This window comes from Homo sapiens, chromosome 3 (assembly GCF_000001405.40).
Source record: "Homo sapiens chromosome 3, GRCh38.p14 Primary Assembly".
NCBI lineage: Eukaryota > Metazoa > Chordata > Mammalia > Primates > Hominidae > Homo > Homo sapiens.
Window position 1 is genome coordinate 141,776,837 of NC_000003.12, and position 23,073 is coordinate 141,799,909.

Sequence of the window (23,073 nt, forward strand, 5' to 3'; positions counted from 1 at the left end):
AATACTGAATGACTTGTTTTTAAGCTGCCTTAGCCTTGCTTTGTGAAGAAAAAGCCTGAGTATCCTTTCCCTGTGGGGCACAGGTTGTTATTTTTGGAGCAGAAGTTCTTAGCCTGATCTCTGTCTAGATCAATTTCTGTCTTGATGAGGCCGAGGTCTGTGACAGCTCCGAGCGTCCTCCGTGGAAGGAAGCTTCCTCGCTTGGTGGGGCGCATGGGCAAAGATGTTGAGGGGCCACGTCTGAAACTTCACTGCTCTTGGCTCCACGCGAAGGCTCCTTGGCATTCAGAGTCTGCTCGTTAGATTGTGCCCTTGGAACAGTCGCGACCGCATGCCGTGAGTGGCGTGCTTTCTGTCTTTGGGATCATGGAAAATTCTTGTCTCATTCAGAGCCCAGACACTCCAGGCCAAGTCCCTTCATTTCAGGAATATGGCTTTTTCTGCTTATACTGCTTCATGGTATGTTTTGGGTGGAGATGGCCCCTCTTTTTTTTTTTTTTTTTTTTGAGACGGAGTCTCGCTCTGTGGCCCAGACGGGAGTGCAGTGGCGCAATCTCGGCTCACTGCAAGCTCCGCCTCCCGGGTTCACGCCATTCTCCTGCCTCAGCCTCCCGAGTAGCTGGGACTACAGGCGCCCGCCATCAAGCCCGGCTAATTTTTTTTTTTTTTTGTATTTTTTTTAGTAGAGACGGGGTTTCACCGTGTTAGCCAGGATGGTCTCGATCTCCTGACCTCGTGATCCGCCCGGAGATGGCCCCTCTTTTAACCCAAGGTACTCCAGGTCACAGACTCCTCAGAGCTAAGACAGCTGCAGGATTTCTGCAAGCTATTCAGGGTGCATCTGCCCTGGCCAACACTGGAGTCCTTAGGGCCTCTGGGAACACATCTCGGGACTCAAAGCTCACAACATCCCCTCTGTAACCTGCTCTTCGTGTCAGGCTGCTAGAACCTGGGAGGAAACTGCTCTGACTTCTCACAGTTCCTCTGCCTGACCTGCTATTCCTAGGAGTTTACATAGCTTGAGGCTGATAGGAAACAAGTAAAATTAGAAACAGATTAAACTACTGCATCAGCAACAAATTAGATGACAACGGTATGATCACTTCCTTGGAACACAGTTCTAGCTAGATATTCAGGGTACAGGGCTATGTGGAGAAAGACCCTAAGATGAAGGGACCAGTGGGGGAGGTGGCCCCGGCAGGTGTCCCAGCAGCTTTCGCCTTGGCAGGTGGGAGCATGACCTATCGTGTGCAGTTCCTGGCGGGCTATACATAGCCAGTCAAAGCTTCTTACAAGAGAAACCTCTTTCACACCCTCCACGGGTCCCACCCACAGGCCACAGGACTCACTGTAAATCCCTTGGACGTTGTCTCACCCGGGAAGGGAAAGCAGCCAGCAGCCCTCCAGCCCTCTTGTGCTTTCCCTGGGAGTGCGCCCCGTGCTCAGCCATGGTGGACATGGGGGCCCTGGACAACCTGATCGCCAACACCGCCTACCTGCAGGCCCGGAAGCCCTCGGACTGCGACAGCAAAGAGCTGCAGCGGCGGCGGCGTAGCCTGGCCCTGCCCGGGCTGCAGGGCTGCGCGGAGCTCCGCCAGAAGCTGTCCCTGAACTTCCACAGCCTGTGTGAGCAGCAGCCCATCGGTCGCCGCCTCTTCCGTGACTTCCTAGCCACAGTGCCCACGTTCCGCAAGGCGGCAACCTTCCTAGAGGACGTGCAGAACTGGGAGCTGGCCGAGGAGGGACCCACCAAAGACAGCGCGCTGCAGGGGCTGGTGGCCACTTGTGCGAGTGCCCCTGCCCCGGGGAACCCGCAACCCTTCCTCAGCCAGGCCGTGGCCACCAAGTGCCAAGCAGCCACCACTGAGGAAGAGCGAGTGGCTGCAGTGACGCTGGCCAAGGCTGAGGCCATGGCTTTCTTGCAAGAGCAGCCCTTTAAGGATTTCGTGACCAGCGCCTTCTACGACAAGTTTCTGCAGTGGAAACTCTTCGAGATGCAACCAGTGTCAGACAAGTACTTCACTGAGTTCAGAGTGCTGGGGAAAGGTGGTTTTGGGGAGGTAAGTGTCTCCCAGTAGCCAGGCTAGAAGGTGAAGCATAGAGCATGAAAGGGGGTAATGTTGCCTTTCTTTTTTTAAATCTCAGTTACTTAGAACTAATTTCAGCACCATATGTGGAGGATTTCTAGCCCCGTCTCCCCAGCCCCCTTCTTTGTGTGTGCCATGGTGTGAAATAAAACACAAATGGCATGAGAGAGACAAGCAAAATTTATACTTGGCCAAGACTCTGTCATGGGTCTCCATTAGGAACGTGCTGAGATGCCTGGACACTTCAGAGAATGATAGCAATGTGTGACAGAAGATCTCCGTTTCCCCTAAATTGTGATAATGAAGGCACTTCAAGAAAAATGGATATTTAAGAAAATACTCTAACTAGCTGGGTGTGGTGACATGCCTGTAATCCCAGCTACTTGGGAGGCTGAAGCAGGAGAATCACTTGAGCCTGGGAGGTGGAGGTTGCAGTGAGCCAAGATCGTGCCACTGCACTCCAGCCTGGGTGACAGAGCAAGACTCAAAAAAAAAAAAAAAAAGAAAGAAAGAAAAGAAAGAAAACACTTATCTTGAAGTAAGGTTGAGAACCTGTTTTGTACCACTGTTGTGCCCAGCTTTCTGTTTTTAAGTAATAAAAAATATTTCAGGTAAAATTTGCTTGATATAAAACTAACCATTAACTGTTTTAAAATGTACAATGCAGTGGCACTTCGCACAAATGCAATGTTGGGTAAGCAACACCTCAATCTGGATCCAAGACACTCTCATCACCCCTGTGCCCATTAATAGTGCCTCCCCATCCCTCTCCTCCTCCAGCCCTGACAACCACTAGTCCGCTTTCTGTCTCTAGGGATTTGCCTATTCTGGGTGTTTCACACAATATGTGACCTTTTGTGTCTGGCTTCTTTCACTCATTAGAATGTTTTTGGGGTTCATTCACACTGTAGCATGTGTCAATACTCCATTCCTTTTTATGGCTGTATAATATTCCATTGTATGGATGTACTACATTTCATGTAGCCATTCATCTGTTGATGGACACTTGGGCTGTTTTCACCTTTTGGCTATTGTGTATGGTGCTGCTATTCATGCACAAGTATTTGTTTGAATCCTTGTTTTCATTTCTCTTGGATTTATGCCCAGGAGTGGAATTGCTAGGGCATATGGTGATACTATGTTTAACTTTTCAAGGAGCCACCAAACTTTCCACATTTTTTATTCCCACCAGCAATGCTTAAAGGTTTCGATTTCTCCACATCCTTGCCAACACTTGATATTTTCCTGTATTTTTTTATGAAGGCCTGCCTAGTGAGGTGAAGGAGTATCGCACTGTAGTCCCCACTTTTTCTTGAGAACACTTCTTATTTACAGCTACTCCTTTCTCCAATGCCTAACATCTTTCCACCCACCTCCTCCTTTATCATCTCCACCTCTCTGCAGTACCATCTACTTCTACCTCTTTCTCTTCTTTTCTTTCTCCTTTAAGGTATGTGCCGTCCAGGTGAAAAACACTGGGAAGATGTATGCCTGTAAGAAACTGGACAAGAAGCGGCTGAAGAAGAAAGGTGGCGAGAAGATGGCTCTCTTGGAAAAGGAAATCTTGGAGAAGGTCAGCAGCCCTTTCATTGTCTCTCTGGCCTATGCCTTTGAGAGCAAGACCCATCTCTGCCTTGTCATGAGCCTGATGAATGGGGGAGACCTCAAGTTCCACATCTACAACGTGGGCACGCGTGGCCTGGACATGAGCCGGGTGATCTTTTACTCGGCCCAGATAGCCTGTGGGATGCTGCACCTCCATGAACTCGGCATCGTCTATCGGGACATGAAGCCTGAGAATGTGCTTCTGGATGACCTCGGCAACTGCAGGTTATCTGACCTGGGGCTGGCCGTGGAGATGAAGGGTGGCAAGCCCATCACCCAGAGGGTGAGTGACTCTCCACCTGCCCCAAGTGCGGGGCACAGAGTTGGAAAGGAGGGGAGAGGGCTTTTCTATTCCCAGGGCAAATAGAGCCTTGGACTTAATTCTTTTGGTTTTTTTTCCTAAAGCGCTTACGTTGTCATCTTGCCTTAAGATGAGTGGTGTAAGAGGATTAGATTCATTGGCTATTTGAGGGCTACTTTGCTCTCCTCTCACAGGGGATGGGGGAGCCTCCTTTGTGAGTTGGGGATGGCCTGTGCTTTTGTGATGAGATGGAAAAAGCTGAATCCATAGTCATGGTCCGGGTGTGTCAATAACCACCTCTATGGTGCTGTGTTCCTGAGCCAATAGAGCCTTGGGTTCCTTTTCTGGAAAATGAAGGGGCTGGACCCTAAAATTCCATGATCCTAGGAGGTAAACTTTAATCAGATAAGAAAAAGAATGATCCGGCTGGGTGTGATGGCTCACGCCTGTAATCCCAGCACTTTGGGGAGGCCGAGGCGGGTGGATCTGCTGAGGTCAGGAGTTTGAGACCAGCCTGGCCAACATGGTGAAACCCCATCTCTAGTAAAAATACAAAAATTAGCCAGGCATGGTGACAGGCGCCTGTAATCCCAGCTACTCGGGAGGTTGAGGCAGGAGAATCGCTTGAACCCAGGAGGCGGAAGTTGTAGTGAGCCGAGATCATGCCACTGCACTCCAGCCTGCTCGACAGAGCAAGACTCTGTCTCAAAAAAAAAAAAGAAAGAAAGAAAAAGAAAAAAGAAAAAAAATAAAGAAAGAAGGAAAAAGAATGATCCTCTCACACCTAGAACATTAAAAGTAAAATATCTCCTTTCCTGTTTAGTGTGGAATGGGCGAATGTTTTGCATTGGATGAAGATGATATTTTAAATGAAAATATATGGAAGAAAACAAAGGCAACTGATGTTTATTTTAATCAGTTTTGTTCAAAGTGACTTGCTTAAAATTCTTTGGTTAAAAAGAGAATTATAATTAAGCGATTATGTTAGGTGAACGACGGAAAATCTCTGGAATTCTAACATCTTTACCTCTGAGTCTCTGTGCACAAAGGTGGGAGATTCCACAGCAAGGCAAGGGCTCAAACCTGGCTCTTAAATGGTTACTTAAAACCTCATTTTTGTACAGTTTTCAGCCTACAGGGCCCAAAGGAAATGAGAAAAATCATGGCAAGTTTGGGAAACTGCTGTGGTGATTTTATGTGGCTGTAATGGAAGGGATGTTGACAAGACTGAAGGGCTGGGCTTTCACAGGTGCTGGAATGCCTTCTTGTAGGGGAAGAGGGGTTCTTGAAGGGTTTTAAGAAGGGAAATGACATGATTAGATTTCTGTCTTAAAAAGACCAATGCGGCAACAATTTGGAAGTTAGATGGTAGGTGGGGACATCAGTTAGGAGGCTAAGGTAGTGAGTGGCCCAGGCAAGAAATAATGGGGGTCTGTACAGGACAGTGGGATTGAAGAAGTGGGAGCAAATTGGAGCTTTTGGAAAGAGATCTGATGGGACTTCAGGACCAGCTGGGTATGGGGGTGAGGGGAAAGTGAGGGTCTCTAGCTCCAGTGGCCAGAAGGAAGAGCAGATTTGTAGGCAAGCTGGCAAGTTTAATTGTGATTATGCTGTCTATGAGGTTCCTGTAGAAGGGACAGGCAGAGATGTTCACTAGGCATTTAGATCTATAGGCCTGGTGCTGTGGAGGAAGACCTGGGATAGACGTGGGGATTTGGAGTTATCATGGTTTGGGAAGCAGAGGGCACTGCTGAGTCACTGGGAAAGAGTAGGGGAAGAAGACCAGGAACAGAAGCTGAAAAACACCAACATGTGGGGGTATAGAAGAAAAGGAGCCCTGAAGAGGTTTAAGAAGTAGAAGGCTACTTGGGAGGCTGAGGCAGGAGAATGACGTCAACCCAGGAGGCGGAGCTTGCAGTGAGCTGAGATCACACCACTGCACTCTAGCCTGGGCTACAAAGCGAGACTCCATCTTAAAAAAAGAAAAAAAAAAAAAGAAGTAGGAGGAAAGGCAAGAGTGATATAGTCATAGGAGCTGTATCAGTTAGAGATGGGTTTCAGGGGCATATCCTAGAAAACCCAAATAACAATAGATTAAACAAGACAGAGGTTTATTTTTCTTATGTAACAGGGTGTGGAAATAAGCACTTGCCAGCATTAGTTCAGCAGCTGCAGAATAATGGGATCTGCATCTTTATAATTCTAGCCTTTTCCATGTGCTGCAAGATGGCTGCTGTAGCCCCAGCCATCAGGGCCATGTTCCAGGTAGGAGAAAGGAGGAAGGGTCAGGAGTAAATAGGCATGCATGCAGCAGTTGAGTGTGGCCCCCTTTAGGAGCTTTCCCTGAAGCTCCATCCAACAGCTTTCACTTAGATGTCACTGGCTAAGACTGTGATCTGGCCACCCCCTAGCTGCAGAGGAAGCTGACAAATGACATTCTTGAAAATTCTTTGGTTAAAAAGGGAATTATAATTAAGCGATTATAATTACTGAATTATATCTGGGCTGAGGAGAAGATCACCCGGCTCATGTCCAGGCCATGTGTGCCCACGTTGTAGATGTGGAACTTGAGGCAGGGGTGAAGGAGCGGGTTCTAGTTAGTAAGGATGAAGAACAGCTGGATATTGAGCAGGTAACTAGCAGCCTCTGCCACAGGAGCCAAAGAAGAGGATTTCAGGGAGGAAAGTGTGGTCAAAGTGTCAAGTGTTGCAAAGAGGTAACGTCGCCTGTGGGATTTGGCAATTAGGAAATCAGTGTAAGGGAATGGTGAGGTCTCAATTCAGACTCTGGAGGCTGGATTGATCTAGAAGTAGGGAATGAGACTCTGGAAGGGGGAGACTGGTCCCTAGAAGGGGATACAGTGGGGAAATGGAGTTTTGAGATGGGGAGGGCAGAGCGGGTTTAGATGCTGAGGCAAAAGCCAGCAGAGTAGGTGTTGATCCTGTGGGAAGGAAAGACAGTAGATGATGGCAGAGAATGTGGGGAGGAGCTGAAGTAACACCGTCTCCTCTGTGGGTGGGAAGGAGGAGCAGGCCAGGGAGGTGACAGAGTGTTTGCCTCCTTGGGACATTCCTATGAACACAGGAACGCTGTGAATCGTGGATCCATGTCTGCCTAGGCTGGAGAAAACTGAAGTGCAGCACTTCACAGTTTGGCATTTGTATTGTCCATTGTGCTGAGCAGGAGCGTTCCTTCTGAGTCGCCCATGGACATGTATCACACTAATTGTTGCTATATCTCGACCTTGCTGGAGGCTTAGGGGACACATAGAGCTTTGGCTCACTCCAGTCTCCTTTCTCAGTCTCCTCAGGCTCTGTTCATGGGCCATGGCCATTTGGAAGGACAGCTCCTTCCTTGGCTCCCGGGTGCAGCTCTCTGGCTCATCTGGAACGTGCAGGAAGGTTTCTGTGCCTCCCCAGTGCTGTCCGCTACCAGGAACGTACTTAGTAGAGAGGCTCACTGCCTACAGACCTTTGGCCCTTTTACCTCTGCATCCCTCTCCGTCCCGTGAGACCACACTTCAGGGTTTAGGCCACTTGCCTCATCCAAGAAGTTTTATGCCCCAGTTTCCGGGCCTGCCACGGAAGCCCAGGGGACCATCAGGAAGGGTGAGGGGAGAGAGATGGAGAGCAAGATTGAAAGCCATAAAAAACAAAGAGAAGAGAAAGGAAGGCCTCCTTTCTTCACTGTTTACCCTTCTACACAGCTAAGTAAACCCCCTTAGTTTCCTATTCATTGCAGCTCCCACACATATAATTGGGCTCACAAGTAGATTGTAAGGTCATTATATTCACAACATTTCACAGAAAAAAAAGACAGATCATAGTTACAGGGCTTCTGTAACCACTAACGTTCAGTTGTGATGTCAAGATACTGTGTTAGAGAATTACTGTGAACATTAATTCTGTGGTTTGAATGAGTCCTCAAAATTTGATGTGTTGGAAACTTAATCTCCAATGTGGCAGTGTTGGAGAGGTGGGGCCTTTAAGAGGTGAGTGGACCATGAGGGCTCTGCCGCTGTGAATAGATGAATGGATTAATGGGTTATCACAGGAGTGGAAATGGTAGCTTTATAAGAAGAGAAAGACCTGAGCTAGCACATCAGCACACTCAGCCCCACGCGATGCCCTGAGCCATCTCAGTACTCCTCAGAGAGTTCCCACCAGCAATAAGACTCTCATCCTCTCACCAGACATTTCCCTCAACCTTCCTTTCCTTATAAAATACTTTCCTTATAAAATACTCAGTCTTAGATACTCTGTCATAAGCAACAGAAAACAAGTTAAGACAGAAGAGGTAACAAGGAAAAATCACCCTGATGATGGAGGTTGAACTCTGCATTGAGTCTGAGCAGTTCTTCCAGAAAAGTTAAGGCATCATGGCTTTGGAAATTTGGCTAGCTTTTTCTCATTCAGAGAGTTATTTAGTCTTGTATAAGTTGGGATTTCTTTCTACTAAATATAACAGAATACCAGATTTTGGTATAGATTTGGCTGTTCAGCAATTTCACGGACAAGACCTCTGTTAAAAATCTCCTGGCTTGCGCTGGGTGTGGTGGCTCAGGCCTAATCCCAGCACTTTGGGCCCAGGAGGACAAGACCAGTCAATAGTGCGAACCCCATCTCTTAAAAAAAATTTTTTTGTTTTGTTTTAGGCTGGCCGTGGTGGCTCACACCTGTAATCCCACACTTTGGGAGGCCAAGGCAGGTGGATCCCCTGAGGTCAGGAGTTCGAGACCAGCCTGGCCAACATGTTGAAACCCTGTCTCTACTAAAAATACAAAAATTAGCCAGGCATGGTGGTGGGTGCCTGTAATCCCAGCTACTTGGGAGGCTGCTGTGGGAGAATCATTTGAACCCGGGAGGTGGAGGTTTTAGTGAGCCAAGATCATACCACTGCACTCCAGCCTGGATGAAAGAGAAAGAGTCTGTCTCAAAAAAAAAAAAAAATTGTTTTAAACTTAGCCAGGTGTGGTGATGCATGCCTGTGGTCCCAGCTACTTGGGAGGCTGAGGTGGGAGGATTGCTTGAGCTCAGGAGTTCAAGGCTTCAGTGAGCTATGATCATGCCACTGCACTCCAGCCTGGGTGACAGAACAATACCCTGTCTCAAAAAAAAAAAAAAAAATCTTTTGGCCTTTTCCTCCTTGTCACAAGTGGCTGTTGCAACTCCAAATATTGAGTCTGCATTCCAGGAGAAGAAAAAAGAGGAGAAAAGAACAACATCCACAGATACCTGCTTATAGCCCATTAGCCAGGACCATGTCATATGTTCACTTCTAGCAGCAAAGGAGGCTGAAAAATAGAGTATTTCATTTTCCAGCCTCTGTTTTGGGGGATGTTAAAGGAGAGGAGGAATGAGATTAGGTGTTGGGTGAGCTGACAGCATCTGCCACACCAGGCCCCAGGAAAAAAATATTGATGAGGATTAGGAAATCAAATTCAGATTCATTACTTTTACAGACATTGGAACTAAAGAATGATTGTGACAATGGTATGGTAGACAAAATTCTAAGATGGCCCCCCATCAATGACCCTTGCTTGCCCTTGTATAATCCCCTCCCCTTGAGTGTAGACAAGACCCGTGAGTATGATGAGATATCACTGCCATGGTTGTGTTATGTTACAGGGCAAAAGGGACTTCAGAGTTTTAATTACAGTTACTAGTAGCAGGGTGCTGTGGCTCACGCCTGTAATCCTAGCACTTTGGGAGGCTGAGGCAGGCAGATCATGATGTCAGGAGATCAAGACCACGCTGGCTAACACAGTGAAACCTGGTCTCTACTAAAAATACAAAAAAATTAGCTGGGCATGATGGCACGTGCCTGTAGTCCCAGCTACTTGGGAGGCTGAGGCAGGAGAATCGCTTGAACCCAGGAGGCAGAGGTTGCAGTAAGCCAAGATCACGCCACTGCACTCCAGCCAGGGTGACAGAGTAAGACTCTCGGAAAAAAAAAAAAAAAGTTACTAGTTAGTTGACTTTGAATTCATCAAAAGAGAAATTATCCAGGTGGGCCTGACCTCATCACACCTATCCTTTCAATATGGGCATAGAGGCTAGAGACAGCAGAAGTCAGAAATGTAAAGCACAGAGGGCCTCTGTGCACCCTGCTGGCTTTGAAGATGGAGGAGCAAGGTGTGTAGGTGGACTCTAGGCACTCAGAGCTGCCTCTCCCTGACAGCCAGCAAGGAAACAGGGGCCTCCTTTCTACAGCCAGAGTGAACTGAATTCTGCCATCACCACATACACTTGGAAGAGGACCTTGGGCTCCAGATCAGAATGTAGCCTGACCAACATCTCCATTTTATTAGCCTTGTGAGTCCATGACCAAAGAGCCCTGCCATGCTGTGCCAGAACTTCTGACCTACGGAACTGCAAGCTAATAAATGAACTGTTTTAAGTTACTAAGTTTGTGGTAATTTGTTACACATCAGTAGAAAACTCATACAAATAGTTAATAAAGGAAGGTAGCCAGAGAAATATTGTAGGGTAGCATCAAAATTAGTGGAGAAGGGCTGGGTGCTATGGCTGATGCCTATAATCCCAGCAGTTTGGGAGGCTGAGGCGGGTGGATCACCTGAGGTCAGGAGCTTGAGACCAGCCTGGCCAACATGGTGAAACCTCATCTCTACTAAAAATACAAAAATTAGCCAGATATGATGGCAGGCACCTGTAATCCCAGCTACTCAAGTGGCTGAGGCAGGAGAATTGCTTGAACCTGGGAGGCAGAAGGTTGCAGTGAGCCAAGATTGCGCCACTGCACTCCAGCCTGGGCAACAAAGTGAGACTCTGCCTCAAAAAAAAAAAAAAAAAATTAATAGAGAAGATATCAAGGTGCTGGACACTGTTAGAGGGATAATATTTTCCTTTCTCACAGGAATCAGAATACCTACCACCAGTCAGGTGCTGTGACTCACGCCTGTAATCCCAACACTTTGGGAAGCCAAGGTGGGAGAATCCCTTGAGGCCAGAAGTTTGAGACCAGTCTAGGCAACATAGCAAGACTTTGTCTCTTAAAAAAAAAAAAAAAAATTACCTGGGCATGATGGTATGCACCTGTAATCCCAGCTACTCAGGAGGCTGAGGCAGGAGGATTGCTTGAGCCTGGGAGTTTGAGGCTGCAGGTAGCCGTGATCACACCACTGCACTCCAGCCTGAGTGACAGAGCAAGACCTTGTCTCTAAACAAACAAACAAACAAAAAACGAGAACAAAAACAAATAATACCTACTGCCTATTTTAATAGAACTGGAGGCTGTAATTGAATTTAGAACTTTGGACATGAGTCTTCCAAGTGGGTAACTCTTCCCTGGGTATGAGCTGTGCCTCCCTGGGGGGGCACAGGCCCTTTCTCGCCACTGAAGGACACTGGGTAAAGTACTTTGGATGTTGTTCTACAGGCAGTAGGGAGCCATTGAAGGTTTTTGAACAAGAAAGTGCCATGACCAGAGTGATTCCTTAGGAAGATGATTCTGACACTATCTAAAATGAAAGAGAAAGAGACTAGAGCTGGGGAGAAACGGGAACCCACCAAGAGCTACTGTAATAATCTGCATATGAGGTAATGCGGGCCTGAGGCTGGGTCCTGGGCTCTAAACAGAGCTCAGCCCCCTGGCCTCTTACCTGGGCTCCATCAAGATCCAGACCTTTACATGCTTCTCTTAAAATGGGGCTGTCCTCAGTGGAGGGCTAGGGGACAGAGAACAGCTCCTAGAACACGGTGACTTCTGCCCCGTGGGGTCTTCTGGCAGCTGGTAGCTGGGTAGTGACTCCGGGAGGTGCTTCAAGGATGGAAAGGAGCAGGTCTGCCCAGGTTTGAGAGACTGAGGCAGACACGCAAGGAGATGCCGGGGCTGAAGAGCATTGGCCTGGGAGGCTGAAACCTGAGCTCTTGTCCCAGCTTCATCACTCATTCACCATGTCTGCCCTCTCAAGTGGGCCTTAAGACGTCTCTGCAATTGCTACCACTTTTGAGTCTATGAGATAGTCTTTGAATTATCTGGAGGAAAGAAGTTTGCTGGTTTGAAACAAAGTCTCATTCTGTCGCCCAGGCTGGAGTGCAGTGGTGTGATCTCAGCTCACTGAAACCTCTACCTCTCACGTTCAAGCACTACTACGCCTGGCTGAGGTTCAAGCGCCACCATGCCTGGCTAATTTTTGTATTTTTAGTAGAGATGGGATTTCACCATGTTGGCCAAGCTAGTCTTGAACTCCTGGCCTCATGTGATCAACTTGCCTCAGCCTCCTAAAGTACTGGGATTGCAGGTGTGAGCCACTGCACCTGGCCTAGGAGGAAAGAAGTTTTAAACTCAAAAGATGAACAGATAGAGTAGGTTACTGTGATTTACTGGACTATCAATCAGAGTTATTATGGGACAGAACTATGTTACTTCAGAAAAATGAAATTAACGGTTTACATAACTAGGAAGCCCTGGCCTGATCCAGGTGTCTGAGCAGTGTCCCTGGGAGTCTCTGTCTCTGTTTCCCAGCTTCGCTCTTCTCTGTGTTGCCCTCACTCTCAGGCAGGTACTCCCTGCACGGGAGCCACCAGTCGCCCCATACACTTCCTACCAACTGAACCACTCCCACAGAGGGAAAACATTTTCTTTATGAATAGTTCCTTCACAGTTCCCAGAGAGGGCGCTCACTGGACAACTCAGGTCACATGTCCAACCACAACCAATCCCATTGGCCGAGACTAGATCACTGCCTGTCCCAGGAGCCAGAGGAAGGTCTGTCCCACGTAAATCTCATGGATCGAGAGCAGAAGAATGTGTTCCCCACAGGAAAATCACAATGCAAAAGATGGGGACTGGATGCCAAATGGGCAAAAAAAAAAAAAACACAAAACAGTGGAGGCCCCTAATAACTGCTGTTACCTCAATGGTTTGAAAAGTTTAAAACCTTTCTGACCCCTTAATCACGGGATGATGAGACCTAAGAGTTCCAAGTAGGTAACTCTTTTCTACATATGAGCTGAGCCTCTTGGGACCCTTTACAAAAAGATTCTGAGTTAGGTACTGTTCTGAGCTCCATTGTACAGGTAGGGAAATTGAGACCCAAAGTCACAGTACTAGTATGTGATATGATTCCAGGCACATCAGATTTAAAAGCGCTCACAGTTTTGACTCCATCTTATTGAGTTCATGCACATGGCAACATATAGCCTTATGTTTTTTTGTTTGTTTGTTTGAGACAGAGTCTCACTCTGTAGCCCAGGCAGGAGTGCAGTGGCACGATCTCAGCTCACTGCAACCTCCGTCTCCCAGGTTCAAGTGATTCTCCCGCCTCAGCCTGCCGTGTAGCTGGGATTACAAGCGCATGCTACCACGCCCAGCTAATTTTTTATACTTCTAGTAGAGACAGGGTTTCACCGAGTTAACCAGGGTGGTCTTGATCTCCTGACATGATCTGCATGCCTCGGCCTCCCAAAGTGCTGGGATTACAGGCCTGAGCCACCGCACCCAGCCAGCATTATGGTTTTTAATGCTATAAAAGGCTTTTCACTTAGTAAGACTCAGACAGAATAAGTGCATGTGATGACATTAGCATATCTTCCCAGTCTGGTCTGATATGGACACCAACCACAAGCCTAGCTGAACTTCTAAGAAAGGAAGACTTCAGAAAAGGATCAGCCCCACCTACACAGGGAATGACGGCCATTAATATTTCAGAGCCAGCTTCTTACCCATAGGTGCAGCACAATTAAACATGTTCCAGCCACTGTCTACATGCACTTTTTTTTTTTTTTTTTTAGATGGAGTCTTGCTCTGTTGCCCAGGCTGGAGTGCAATGGCACAATCTTGGCTCACTGCGACCTCTGCCTCCAGGGTTCAAGCAATTCTCATGCCTCAGCCTCCTGAGTAGCTGTCATTATAGGCACCCACCACCACACTCGGCTAATTTGTGTATTTTTAGTAGAGTCGGGGTTTCACCATGTTGGCCAGGCTGGTCTGGAACTCCTGACCTCAGGTGATCTGCCCACCTCGGCCTCTCAAAGTGCTGGGATTACAGGCGTAAGCCACCGCGCCCGGTCAACATGCACTTTTAATAAATGTGATAAGCACTTCTGCCTGTGCTCAGTTGACATCTACATGCACACAGTGAAACTAGTTTGTATCATTGTAAAAGATTCCAAGTAAATATAATAGGAATATTGGGGAGTGAGGATCATGCTTGTACTTTTTAAATTCAGAATTCTATTTGGTGAGCAGTGACCTTCAGGTATTATGCAATATGAGTCTTTAAAATTTGCTATTTTGTTAGGAATGGGAATGAGGTTAGAATAGTGACCCAGAAGCTTGTTACATGTTTAGATACCTGGTCCTGCCTTGAAGTCTCTGACCAACTCCTCACATTCAGAGGGATAATGGGAGACAGAGGTTTGGTATTATATTTATTTCGAAGCATCTATTGTACCAAATACAATGCTAGAGACATACTGGAAAGGTGATTTTTAAAAGACCTCTGAACATGTTTTCTTGGGAGTTAATGCCTCCATATGTCACAACCATCATGACCATGCCCCCCAGTTTTTTTTTTCTTTAAGTGCTCACTTCTGAGATCTAGCTTAAGAAAGACATACAGGAGAGGCATTCTGGTCACATGAGGCATGAAGTCATGGTCACACTTTGGCCTGACCAAAAGGATTACCACCAGCATTGACCAAATTTAATTCCTACTAACTTTTGACCCCTACAGAAATTTGAAATCTATTCTTAAATTATTTACCACTACCAAGGGCATTCAAAAATATTCATTACAGTCTGTAATTACTTTTAACATTCCTTCATCCAAAAGGCATGCCTTTATTCACTCACTCACTCACTTGTTTATTCAACTTACATGTATCAAGTGTTTCCCACATGCCAGGACTGTTCTAAATATGAGGGATAGCCAGGTGCCGTGGCTCATGCCTGTAATCCCAGCACTTTGGGAGGCCAAGGTGGGCAGATCACTTGAGGTCAGGAGTTTCAGACCAGCCTGGCCAACATGGTGAAAACCTGTATCTACTAAAAATACAAAAATTAGCTGGGTGTGGTGGCGGGCCCCTATAATCCCAGCTACTTGGGAAGCTGAGGTAGGAGAATCGCTTGAACCCGGGAGGCGGAGGTTGTAGTGAGCCGAAATCATGCCATTGCACTCCAGCCTGGGAGACAGAGCGAGACTCCATCTAAAAAAAAAAAAAAAAAAAAAAAATTGAGGGATAGAAGGAAGAGCAGAAAATGGACATGATTCCTGCCTTCATGAAGCTTACAGTCTAGTGGGGAAGATAGAACTTAATAAACATTCAGACTGGGCGTGGTGGCTCATGCCTGTAATCCCAGCACTTTGGGAGGCCGAGGCGGACAGATCACTTGAGGTCAGGAGTTCGAGACCAGCCTGGCCAACCTGGTGAAACCCTGTCTCTACTAAAAATACAAAAAATTAGCCGGGCATTGTAGCACATGCCTGTAGTCCCAGCTACTCGGGAGGCTGAGGCAGGGGAATTGCTTGAACCCAAGAGACGGAGGCTGCAGTGAGTGGAGATCATGCCACTGCACTCCAACCTGGGCAACAGAGCAAGATTTTGTCTCAAAAAAAAAAAAAAAAGGGAACTTAATAATCATTCAAATAAGTATTAAATATCACTTATGATAAATGCTGGGAAGACATGGTACATTGGGCTCTCCAAGGAGGATTTGACTTAATATGTGAAAATCAAAAAGTAAACCACATGGGAAATTCAACTTACATGATACTAGAAGGAAAGGAATTCACTCAGCAAAGAGGTTCCGGTGGTGTCTCAGATTGGGCTCCCTGGAAACAGACTGAGACAGATTTACACATGGAAGATATTGGGGAGCTATGATATTGTGAAATATGTGTTTGGTCTTCATCCCATTTTCTGGCATACAACTCCAAATCTTCAAAGTGAAAAGCATCTTTTTGTATATTAATGAGTTGACTGATGGCTGGCAGCCCCTAGGAAGCTGCAGGATGGAGACTGGTCACCAGAAAAGCCAAGGTAGGATTAGAGGGTTAGGACTTTCAGCCTATCCCCCAATGGCCAATGATTTTATCAATCATGCCTGTGTAATGAAGACTCCATAAAAACCCAAAAGGGCAGGGTTCAGAGAGCTTCCTGATAGCCAATCACGTGGAGGCTTCCAGGAAGATGAACAAGAACACATCCACGTGCTGGGAGTGTGGCTCACCCCAGCTCCATGGGGACAGAAGCTTCTGAACTTGGGACCCTTCCAGACTTGGTCCTGTATGACTCTTCATTTGGCTGCTTATTTGTGTCATTTAAAATATCCCTTATAACAAACCAGAAAACATAAGTGTTTCCCTGCATTCTGTGAGCTGCTGTGGCAAATTAATTGAACCCAAAGAGAGGTTTGTGGGGACCTCAATTTACAGCTGGTGGGTCAGAAGTTTTGAAGGCCTGGACTTGCCACTGGCATTCAAAGCCTAGAGGCAGCCTTGGGGACTGAGCCCTCACCCTGTAGGACCTGGCACTGTCTCCAGGAGATAGTGTCATAATGGATTTGAATTAGAGGACATCCAGCTCGCATCTGCTGCAGAATGGATTGCTGGCTGGTTTGTGTTTTGAGAGTATTGTGGGAGAAACTGAGTTTGTTTCTTCTACTCAGGAGTGCTCTCCTGAGATGCAGCCATGAGGAAGGCAGGACTGGGCAGAGAGAACCTCACCCCTAGTGCGGCAGGCGGTGGGGACTAAGACCTCAGCCATCCTTCAGGGAGCTCTGGAGTTGGGATGACTCTTCTGAGTTGGCCCAAATTGAGGTGGGGTCCAGACTTGTGTATCCCTAAGGATGCAGTCAGTGACTGTGAGTAGCTGCCAGAAGGGGGCGGAAGCCTGGGATGCCATCCCCGCTGCAGAAGGCAGTTCCCAGGGAGGGGTGCAGCTGTGAGCCATCAGCAAGCAGTGGCCCCAGCCAGGCATGGCTGCATAAATTTGGGGGCTCACTGTGAAATAAAAATATAGGGCCTCTTCTTCAAATATCGGGAAAAAGCCTCCTTTCATGCTCTATTTTTCAACCAGCCATAGGGTTTGGATTTGCTATTTAATGTCATACTTCCCCAGGCTCTGGGATACTCAAAGAGTGAGTAGAGACCCTCACAGACACCCAGGGCTCCAACCCACGACTGGACCTGAGGAAGCATGTGCCTGACCCCAGCCCTCCCTGCACCTGAGTCCAGGCCCCTACCAGGCAGAAAGTGGCAATAGTCACTGGGTGAGGGTGGGGGTAGAAGTGGGAGGTGGGGAAGCAGACAGCCATGAACCCATCCCGGGGAGGCAAGCAGGTGGCAGGAGGGGGACTGTGTGAGCTGAGGCTCCAAGTACGGCTCTATTGGCTTATTGGACTTCACTTAAAAGACACAAATTCAAAGATAAATGATTACAAACAGCATTAAACCCCAGTAAAGGTATGCCTCTGAGCACAGGGCCCTGTCCATGGGCACTGGAAACTGGCCTGGCACCAGCAGCTGGAGGGTGGGGGCCAAGAACCTGAAGAGGGGATTGGAGCCAAGTAGCCCCCACAGGTGGGGAAGAGCATTTCAGGCCATGGGAATAGTCTGGGCAAGTATCTCTTGCTTTAGGGGAAATGAAAAGGAAGCCAGGAAATGAAAAGCACATCGTAAGAGGAAATGTGGTTCAAATGAAGATGGAGAGGTGGCAGGGGCCAGACGGAACCTGGCATTATGGGCCATGTTAAGGACTTTGGGTGATCGTCTCTGATCACTGGAAAAGCTGTGGCAGGGTTTCATGAAGGGGACAACATGTTTCAAATTTTGTTTTGAAAAGATTACCCCAGGTGAAGTGAAACAGATTGGAGGAGATTCAGGTAGTTTGTGGTCTTTGTAATCCAGGTAAGAGGTGATGGGGCTCAGACCACAGAGGGAGTAGTGGAGACAGAACGCAGTGGATGAATTGGGGCGATATAATATTTCAGAGTGAATAGGCCTCAGTGATGGTTTGGATACGGGGTTAAGGGAGATGGGGTGTCAAGAATGATTTGTTAGATAAGGCTGTGTCACAAGCACAGACTTAGACCCTGAGTACTAAACAGGGAACCAGGCAAACAAAGACCCTGAATACTAAACAGGGAACCAGGCAAACAAATGCCTGCCTTCATGAAGTTCCAGGAGAGGAAAGGGATGGACAAGGACATGGGCAGTGATAATACGGTGTGATCAGGGTTGTCTGAGCTGGGTACATAGGAAGGGCACCCAGCCCAACATGAGGACCTGGAGTCACAGGGTCAGGAAGGGCTTCCAAGGGGAAGGGACAACCAAGCTAAGACTTAAAAGACATGAAGCCAGACAGGTAAAGAGGAAGGAGCATGCGCTAGGTAAAGGGATCAGCAGAGCTCAATAGTCCTCAATGGCGGGTGATTGTGCCAAACTTCCTGGGGATACTTGGCAATGTCTGGAGACAGTTTTGGTTGTCATGACTGGGGAACTGCTACCAGCATCTAGTGGGTAGAGGCAGGGATACTGCCAAACATCTTACAATGAATAGCACAGCCCCCAACACAAAGCATATTCAGCCCACAACATCCACAGTGCCACACTTGAAAACCCTGGCATAAAGGCCTCGCAGCACAAGGCCTGAGGCTCAGTCGCAGAACAGAGTGGCTTTGCAGCTGGCTGCAGTGTGGAGTCATGAGGTGGGAGGGGTGACTAACGATACAACTAGAGAGTTTAGCAGACACCAGGCCCTAGGGGCTGGAGGAGTTGCACAAGGGGAGTTTGAACCTATTGGCAAGGGTGCTGGGGAACCGATGAAAGGTTTTTAGCAGGGAAGTGACAAAATCAATCTTGGGGCCAGGTGTGGTGGCTAATGCCTGTAATCTCAGCATTTTGGGAGGCCAAGGCACAAGGATTACTTGAGCCTAGCAGATGGAGACCAGCCTGGGCAACAAAGCGAGACTCTGCTCTATGTTAAAAAAAAAAAATAGCCTTGGAATTACATCAAAGAGAAGGAGTTAGAATGAGCACAGAAAGGCTGGGAGGGAAGCAGAGGACTCAGGGAACTGTGGGCTTGCACATTGTCTAATGGAGTCACGGGAATAAGGAGAGGCTGGGCCAGGGGGTCTGCAGGATGCGGCAGGAGGGGGCTGTCATGTGACATGATACAGTTCAGGGACCTAATGGTTGCCGTGTCATCTAATCTAATATAGACACATGTTAGAAGCTCAGAGCATTCATTTAGATCATGCGCAGCTGATGAAATATAGTCCTGCAGGTCAAGGAGAAAGGAGCTTGAGCATTTGAATCCTGGTTCTGCCACTTACTCTGGCTGCTGTGTACAGATGTGCAGGCTGACTCCCTGCATGGGAGAGTGGGGGCTGACGTCACATGGGAGGCTGGTTTGCTCCACGCACCAAGACATTTGGAGTGCCTTCTAATTGGCACAAATGTACTCATGGGTTGGCCACAGCCCTGCACATGATCTTACACAAGTCAGACTGCTTCTCTGAGCCTGCTTAATACTGCCTGCCTTTAGCGTTGATGAGAAGATTAAGAAACAAAGTAGATAAATGCCTAGCCGAGGGTCAGCCACTTGGTAGGCACTCAAGAAATGATTGTACAAGAAGCTCCAGACCTTCAGTCACAATCCCCGCTGTTGCAATTGTTTCTGCCTCACCTGACAGGCACTGTAGTTGCTCAGGTGACCTCTGCAGCTGTGCTTTGTTCTCTGCGAGGCACAGGGAGCCAGCGGGACCCCAAGGCTGCAGCAGTGGGCAGTGGGTGAGCAGCTTGCATCTGGGTTGAGCCAAGCAGACACTCACAGTTGTCTTGCTTCCTCACAGCTGTGTGGGGTTTCATTTGTGGTTTTCTTCTGAGCATCTTAGAGGCACCGTGGAAAGTATGCCTCAGCCTGCTGCCAGAGAGATTCATAGCACATGAAACCACTGAAGAACACGCTCAAGTGAAAGAACGGGAACTATTGATCTCTGACCATGTGCCAGGCCCTGCCTTTCAGTCTGATGGAGTCTTGTGTAGCTGTCCTGCCTGAGACAACCAGAACCCAGGCATGGTAACAACAGCCGCTAATACATACTGTGGTAGCAGGCCTGCTGTGCGCCAGGTTTTGGGTCGACACCCAATCTGTTTTATCGTTTTAATCTTCGTCACAGTCCCATAAGGCAAGAACTGTTGAGGCTCAGAGGGGTTGAGTAAGCGGCTGTGGGTGACCGGCTTATAACTGGTAGAGCTGGGATCTGAACTACAGCAAACCAACGCCAGTGTGGGAGCCATTTCACCCCAGACTCTATGCCTGCAAAAAGTGTTATTGTGACGACCCCTCTTTTGGGCTCCCTGTGTGGGCTCTGTGAAATGGGTGTCCTTCCAGGGGTGTCAGGGAGAGCAGGAAGCCGCCTCTGATGGGATGCGCCCTCCCCGCCCAGGAAGTGGCGGCAGAAAGCGAGCCCTGAGAAGCCAGGGGCAGGAGCGGCCTCCGCGCGACACTGCGGCGCTCCTGATTCTGCGGCCTGGGGCCGAGCATGCGGGGCGGGCGGAGCCTCGAGCTAAGTCCCCTGGGGTCCCAGGGCCGCATTCCTCCGAGGTCTGCAAAGGCCACTGCTTAAAGGCGCAGAGGAGCAGCTGGGAACGAGAACAAAGCGGCCAGGCCCCCCTCGGAGGAAGGAAGGAGAGAGCCCCAGGAAACAGCTGATAGCGCTAAGCTCAGCTTGTTTTTTTCCTCTGCTCAACAGTTCTCCTGCCACGGCAAACAAAACATGTACATTCTGATTCCCTCTTCTGTTTGGATTGTGCTGTCGACTGGATCTGGTTTGTGATGAGCTGGGGGAAGAGGCATCCGCGGGCGATTTCTGGCTCGGCGTGCCAGTGTGCTTTTGCTGGGCCGCGCCGGGATCGCGGAGCTTCCTCTCCGGCTCCTTTCTCCCCGTCTGCGTCGCTAATCCAGCCTGGCCCGGCCACCCCAAGGGAAGACACGGCCGTTTCTTTTGATAGTGGAATTGGAGGTTGCCAAGTTTTCAGATTTAATGGGAGGTGGAGGGTTGCTCGTGTCCTTGACCTTGAAGGACCTGCGCACACTCATACTTTTTCATGGACTTGTAAAACTGTTAAGAGGTGAACTGTGCCCTCTCAGCTCCACCAGAAGCCCCTCCATGTTCTCTGCACTGCGAAGGTCACAGTCTGGTTCCTGGTTGTCCAGAGCCACACTGGGACTCTGTCCAGGGCCAGCCTGGGCCCTGCCAGTTCGGTTCAGAGTGACAGCTACAGGGTCAATGGAAGAGGCCAGCACCCAACAGCAAGAACAATGTAGGGGGTATCTGGACGGGCTTGGGATCTTAATCACACCTTAAGGTGTCTACCTTCCCCAATGTCTGGACACCTGTTGGTGACAGGTGGCCCTGATGGGACTAAGCTTGAGATTACTGTACTAGAAGGACTTCCCGCTGCCCCTGAGGGGATGGGGGAGGGGCACTGGCACTGCCAGGCGTGCTAAACCCCGTGAGGTCTGTTGTTCGATGTCGCCCAATGCTGGGTATACTTGGTTTTTGCCTGACCAGGTGTTGACTGTGTGGGTCTGGAAAGGGCACCATAAAACCCAAAGTAAAATAAGGTAAAACCCAGAAAAGGATAAAACACATACACACACACACACCCACACACCCCTCCACTAAGAGGTGCTGATACTCGGGCAATCCCTACAGCCCTGGGCATGGCGGTTCTGGTCACATGCACTGAAGGAGACGGTTCTGATGCTGCTGAGACAGAGGCGCAGGGCCCTGTGTAACTGCAGGAGTTAAACCCAGCTGTAAGAGGTCAGCGTGGTTGGACCTGCTCCACGCTGCTTGGCGCGTTCTCTCCTCCCACCCTACTCTGAGGAGGCAGTTCACATGCAGAAGACAAATGGCATAAAGGGCAGGCAATTAATTTTTTCAGCTGGAGGCTGCAATGGAATGTGGGTGCTTAAAGTCTGGCGTGCGCCTCTAATTCCATTCTCCTCAGTGAAATACCTCCGCTCTTCAAGGAGGTGGTGCCCTTCAAAGCTCCATGGCTGACATTTTCTGTCTTTAGGACCAAGAGGTGAATTTAGTCCTGAAAATTATTTGGAATGAATCTAAGGCCTTCCTGCACGCTGTCTCATGCTCTTTCCACTACACCAGGGGGTCTACAGTGCTGTAAAGATGGCAGGCCAATTCTTTACTTATTTCCTTGGGGAGGTGGTTGCAGAGCATGGCCCAGGGTCTGGTCCCATCTCCCAGAACCCTCTGCTGTGTGGAGCAGCCGAGCCAGCCTGAAACAGGCAAAAAATGGAGAATTCACTGGGATAAGGGGAAGGGAAACATCTTTAGCAAGAATGCTAAAGATCAAGGACTTAGTACTGGGCAAATGGGGAGAGGGAAGAAGGGGACTCTACAAGGGAGAAAAGAAATCCTGAAGGGAACTTGGAGGGGTAAGAAAAAGTCACTTCACCTACTTCTATAGAGGCGGAATAATGTAGTAGTGAAAAGCGCAGGCCAGGGCAGGCATGGTGGGTCACGCCTGTAATCCCAGCCCTTTGGGAGGCTGTGGCGGATGGATCACAGGAGGTCGGGAGTTCGAGACCAGCCTAGCTAACATGGTGAAACCCTGTCTCTACTAAAAATACAAAATTAGCCGGGCGTGGTGGTGAGCGCCTGTAATCCCAGCTACTCAGGAGGCTGAGGCAGGAGAATCACTTGAACCTGGGAGGTGGAGGTTGCAGTGAGCCAAGATCATGCCACTGCACTCCAGTCTGGGTGATAGAGTGAGGCTCGGTCTAAAAAAAAAAAACAAGGTGCAGCCTGTGTGTGATTCTTAGGTTGGTGATCTTAGGCAAGATTTAACCTCTCTATGGTTCAGTTTCCTAATCTGCAAAATGGACGCTATCTCATAGGGTTACTATGGAGATCAAATGAGGAATTCACATAAAGCACTACAGAAAATATTTAGCATGGAATAAGCACTCAATAATGTTTTCCATTATTATTTCCAATTTTTCTCTCAGCATGTGTTTCACAATCCTTTGTTCATGGCAAGGTATGTTGTCCACTTTCACCCTACACCTTCTACCGAGCAAC

The 23,073-nt window shown here is 48.4% G+C and overlaps 1 protein-coding gene across 2 annotated transcripts in view, besides 2 other annotated features; it reads left to right on the plus strand.

The window, feature by feature from the left end:
* Positions 1–23,073, plus strand: part of GRK7 (G protein-coupled receptor kinase 7) — a 69,369-nt gene that overhangs the window by 26,853 nt on the left and 19,443 nt on the right. For both annotated transcript variants that reach the window (XM_047447449.1, NM_139209.3), the window contains 2 exons: positions 1,336–2,060; positions 3,538–3,975. In XM_047447449.1, the coding sequence (XP_047303405.1) occupies positions 1,449–2,060; positions 3,538–3,975 (1,050 nt within the window). In that variant the 5' untranslated portion in view covers positions 1,336–1,448. The remainder of the gene's footprint in view (positions 1–1,335; positions 2,061–3,537; positions 3,976–23,073) is intronic.
* Positions 19,994–20,053: an enhancer, noted in NCBI's record as "active region_20637". NCBI's record gives its function as "activates an Ori minimal core promoter by ATAC-STARR-seq in GM12878 lymphoblastoid cells {active_cell/tissue: GM12878}" and the evidence as "EXISTENCE:reporter gene assay evidence [ECO:0000049][PMID:35858748]".
* Positions 20,724–20,843: an enhancer, noted in NCBI's record as "active region_20638". NCBI's record gives its function as "activates an Ori minimal core promoter by ATAC-STARR-seq in GM12878 lymphoblastoid cells {active_cell/tissue: GM12878}" and the evidence as "EXISTENCE:reporter gene assay evidence [ECO:0000049][PMID:35858748]".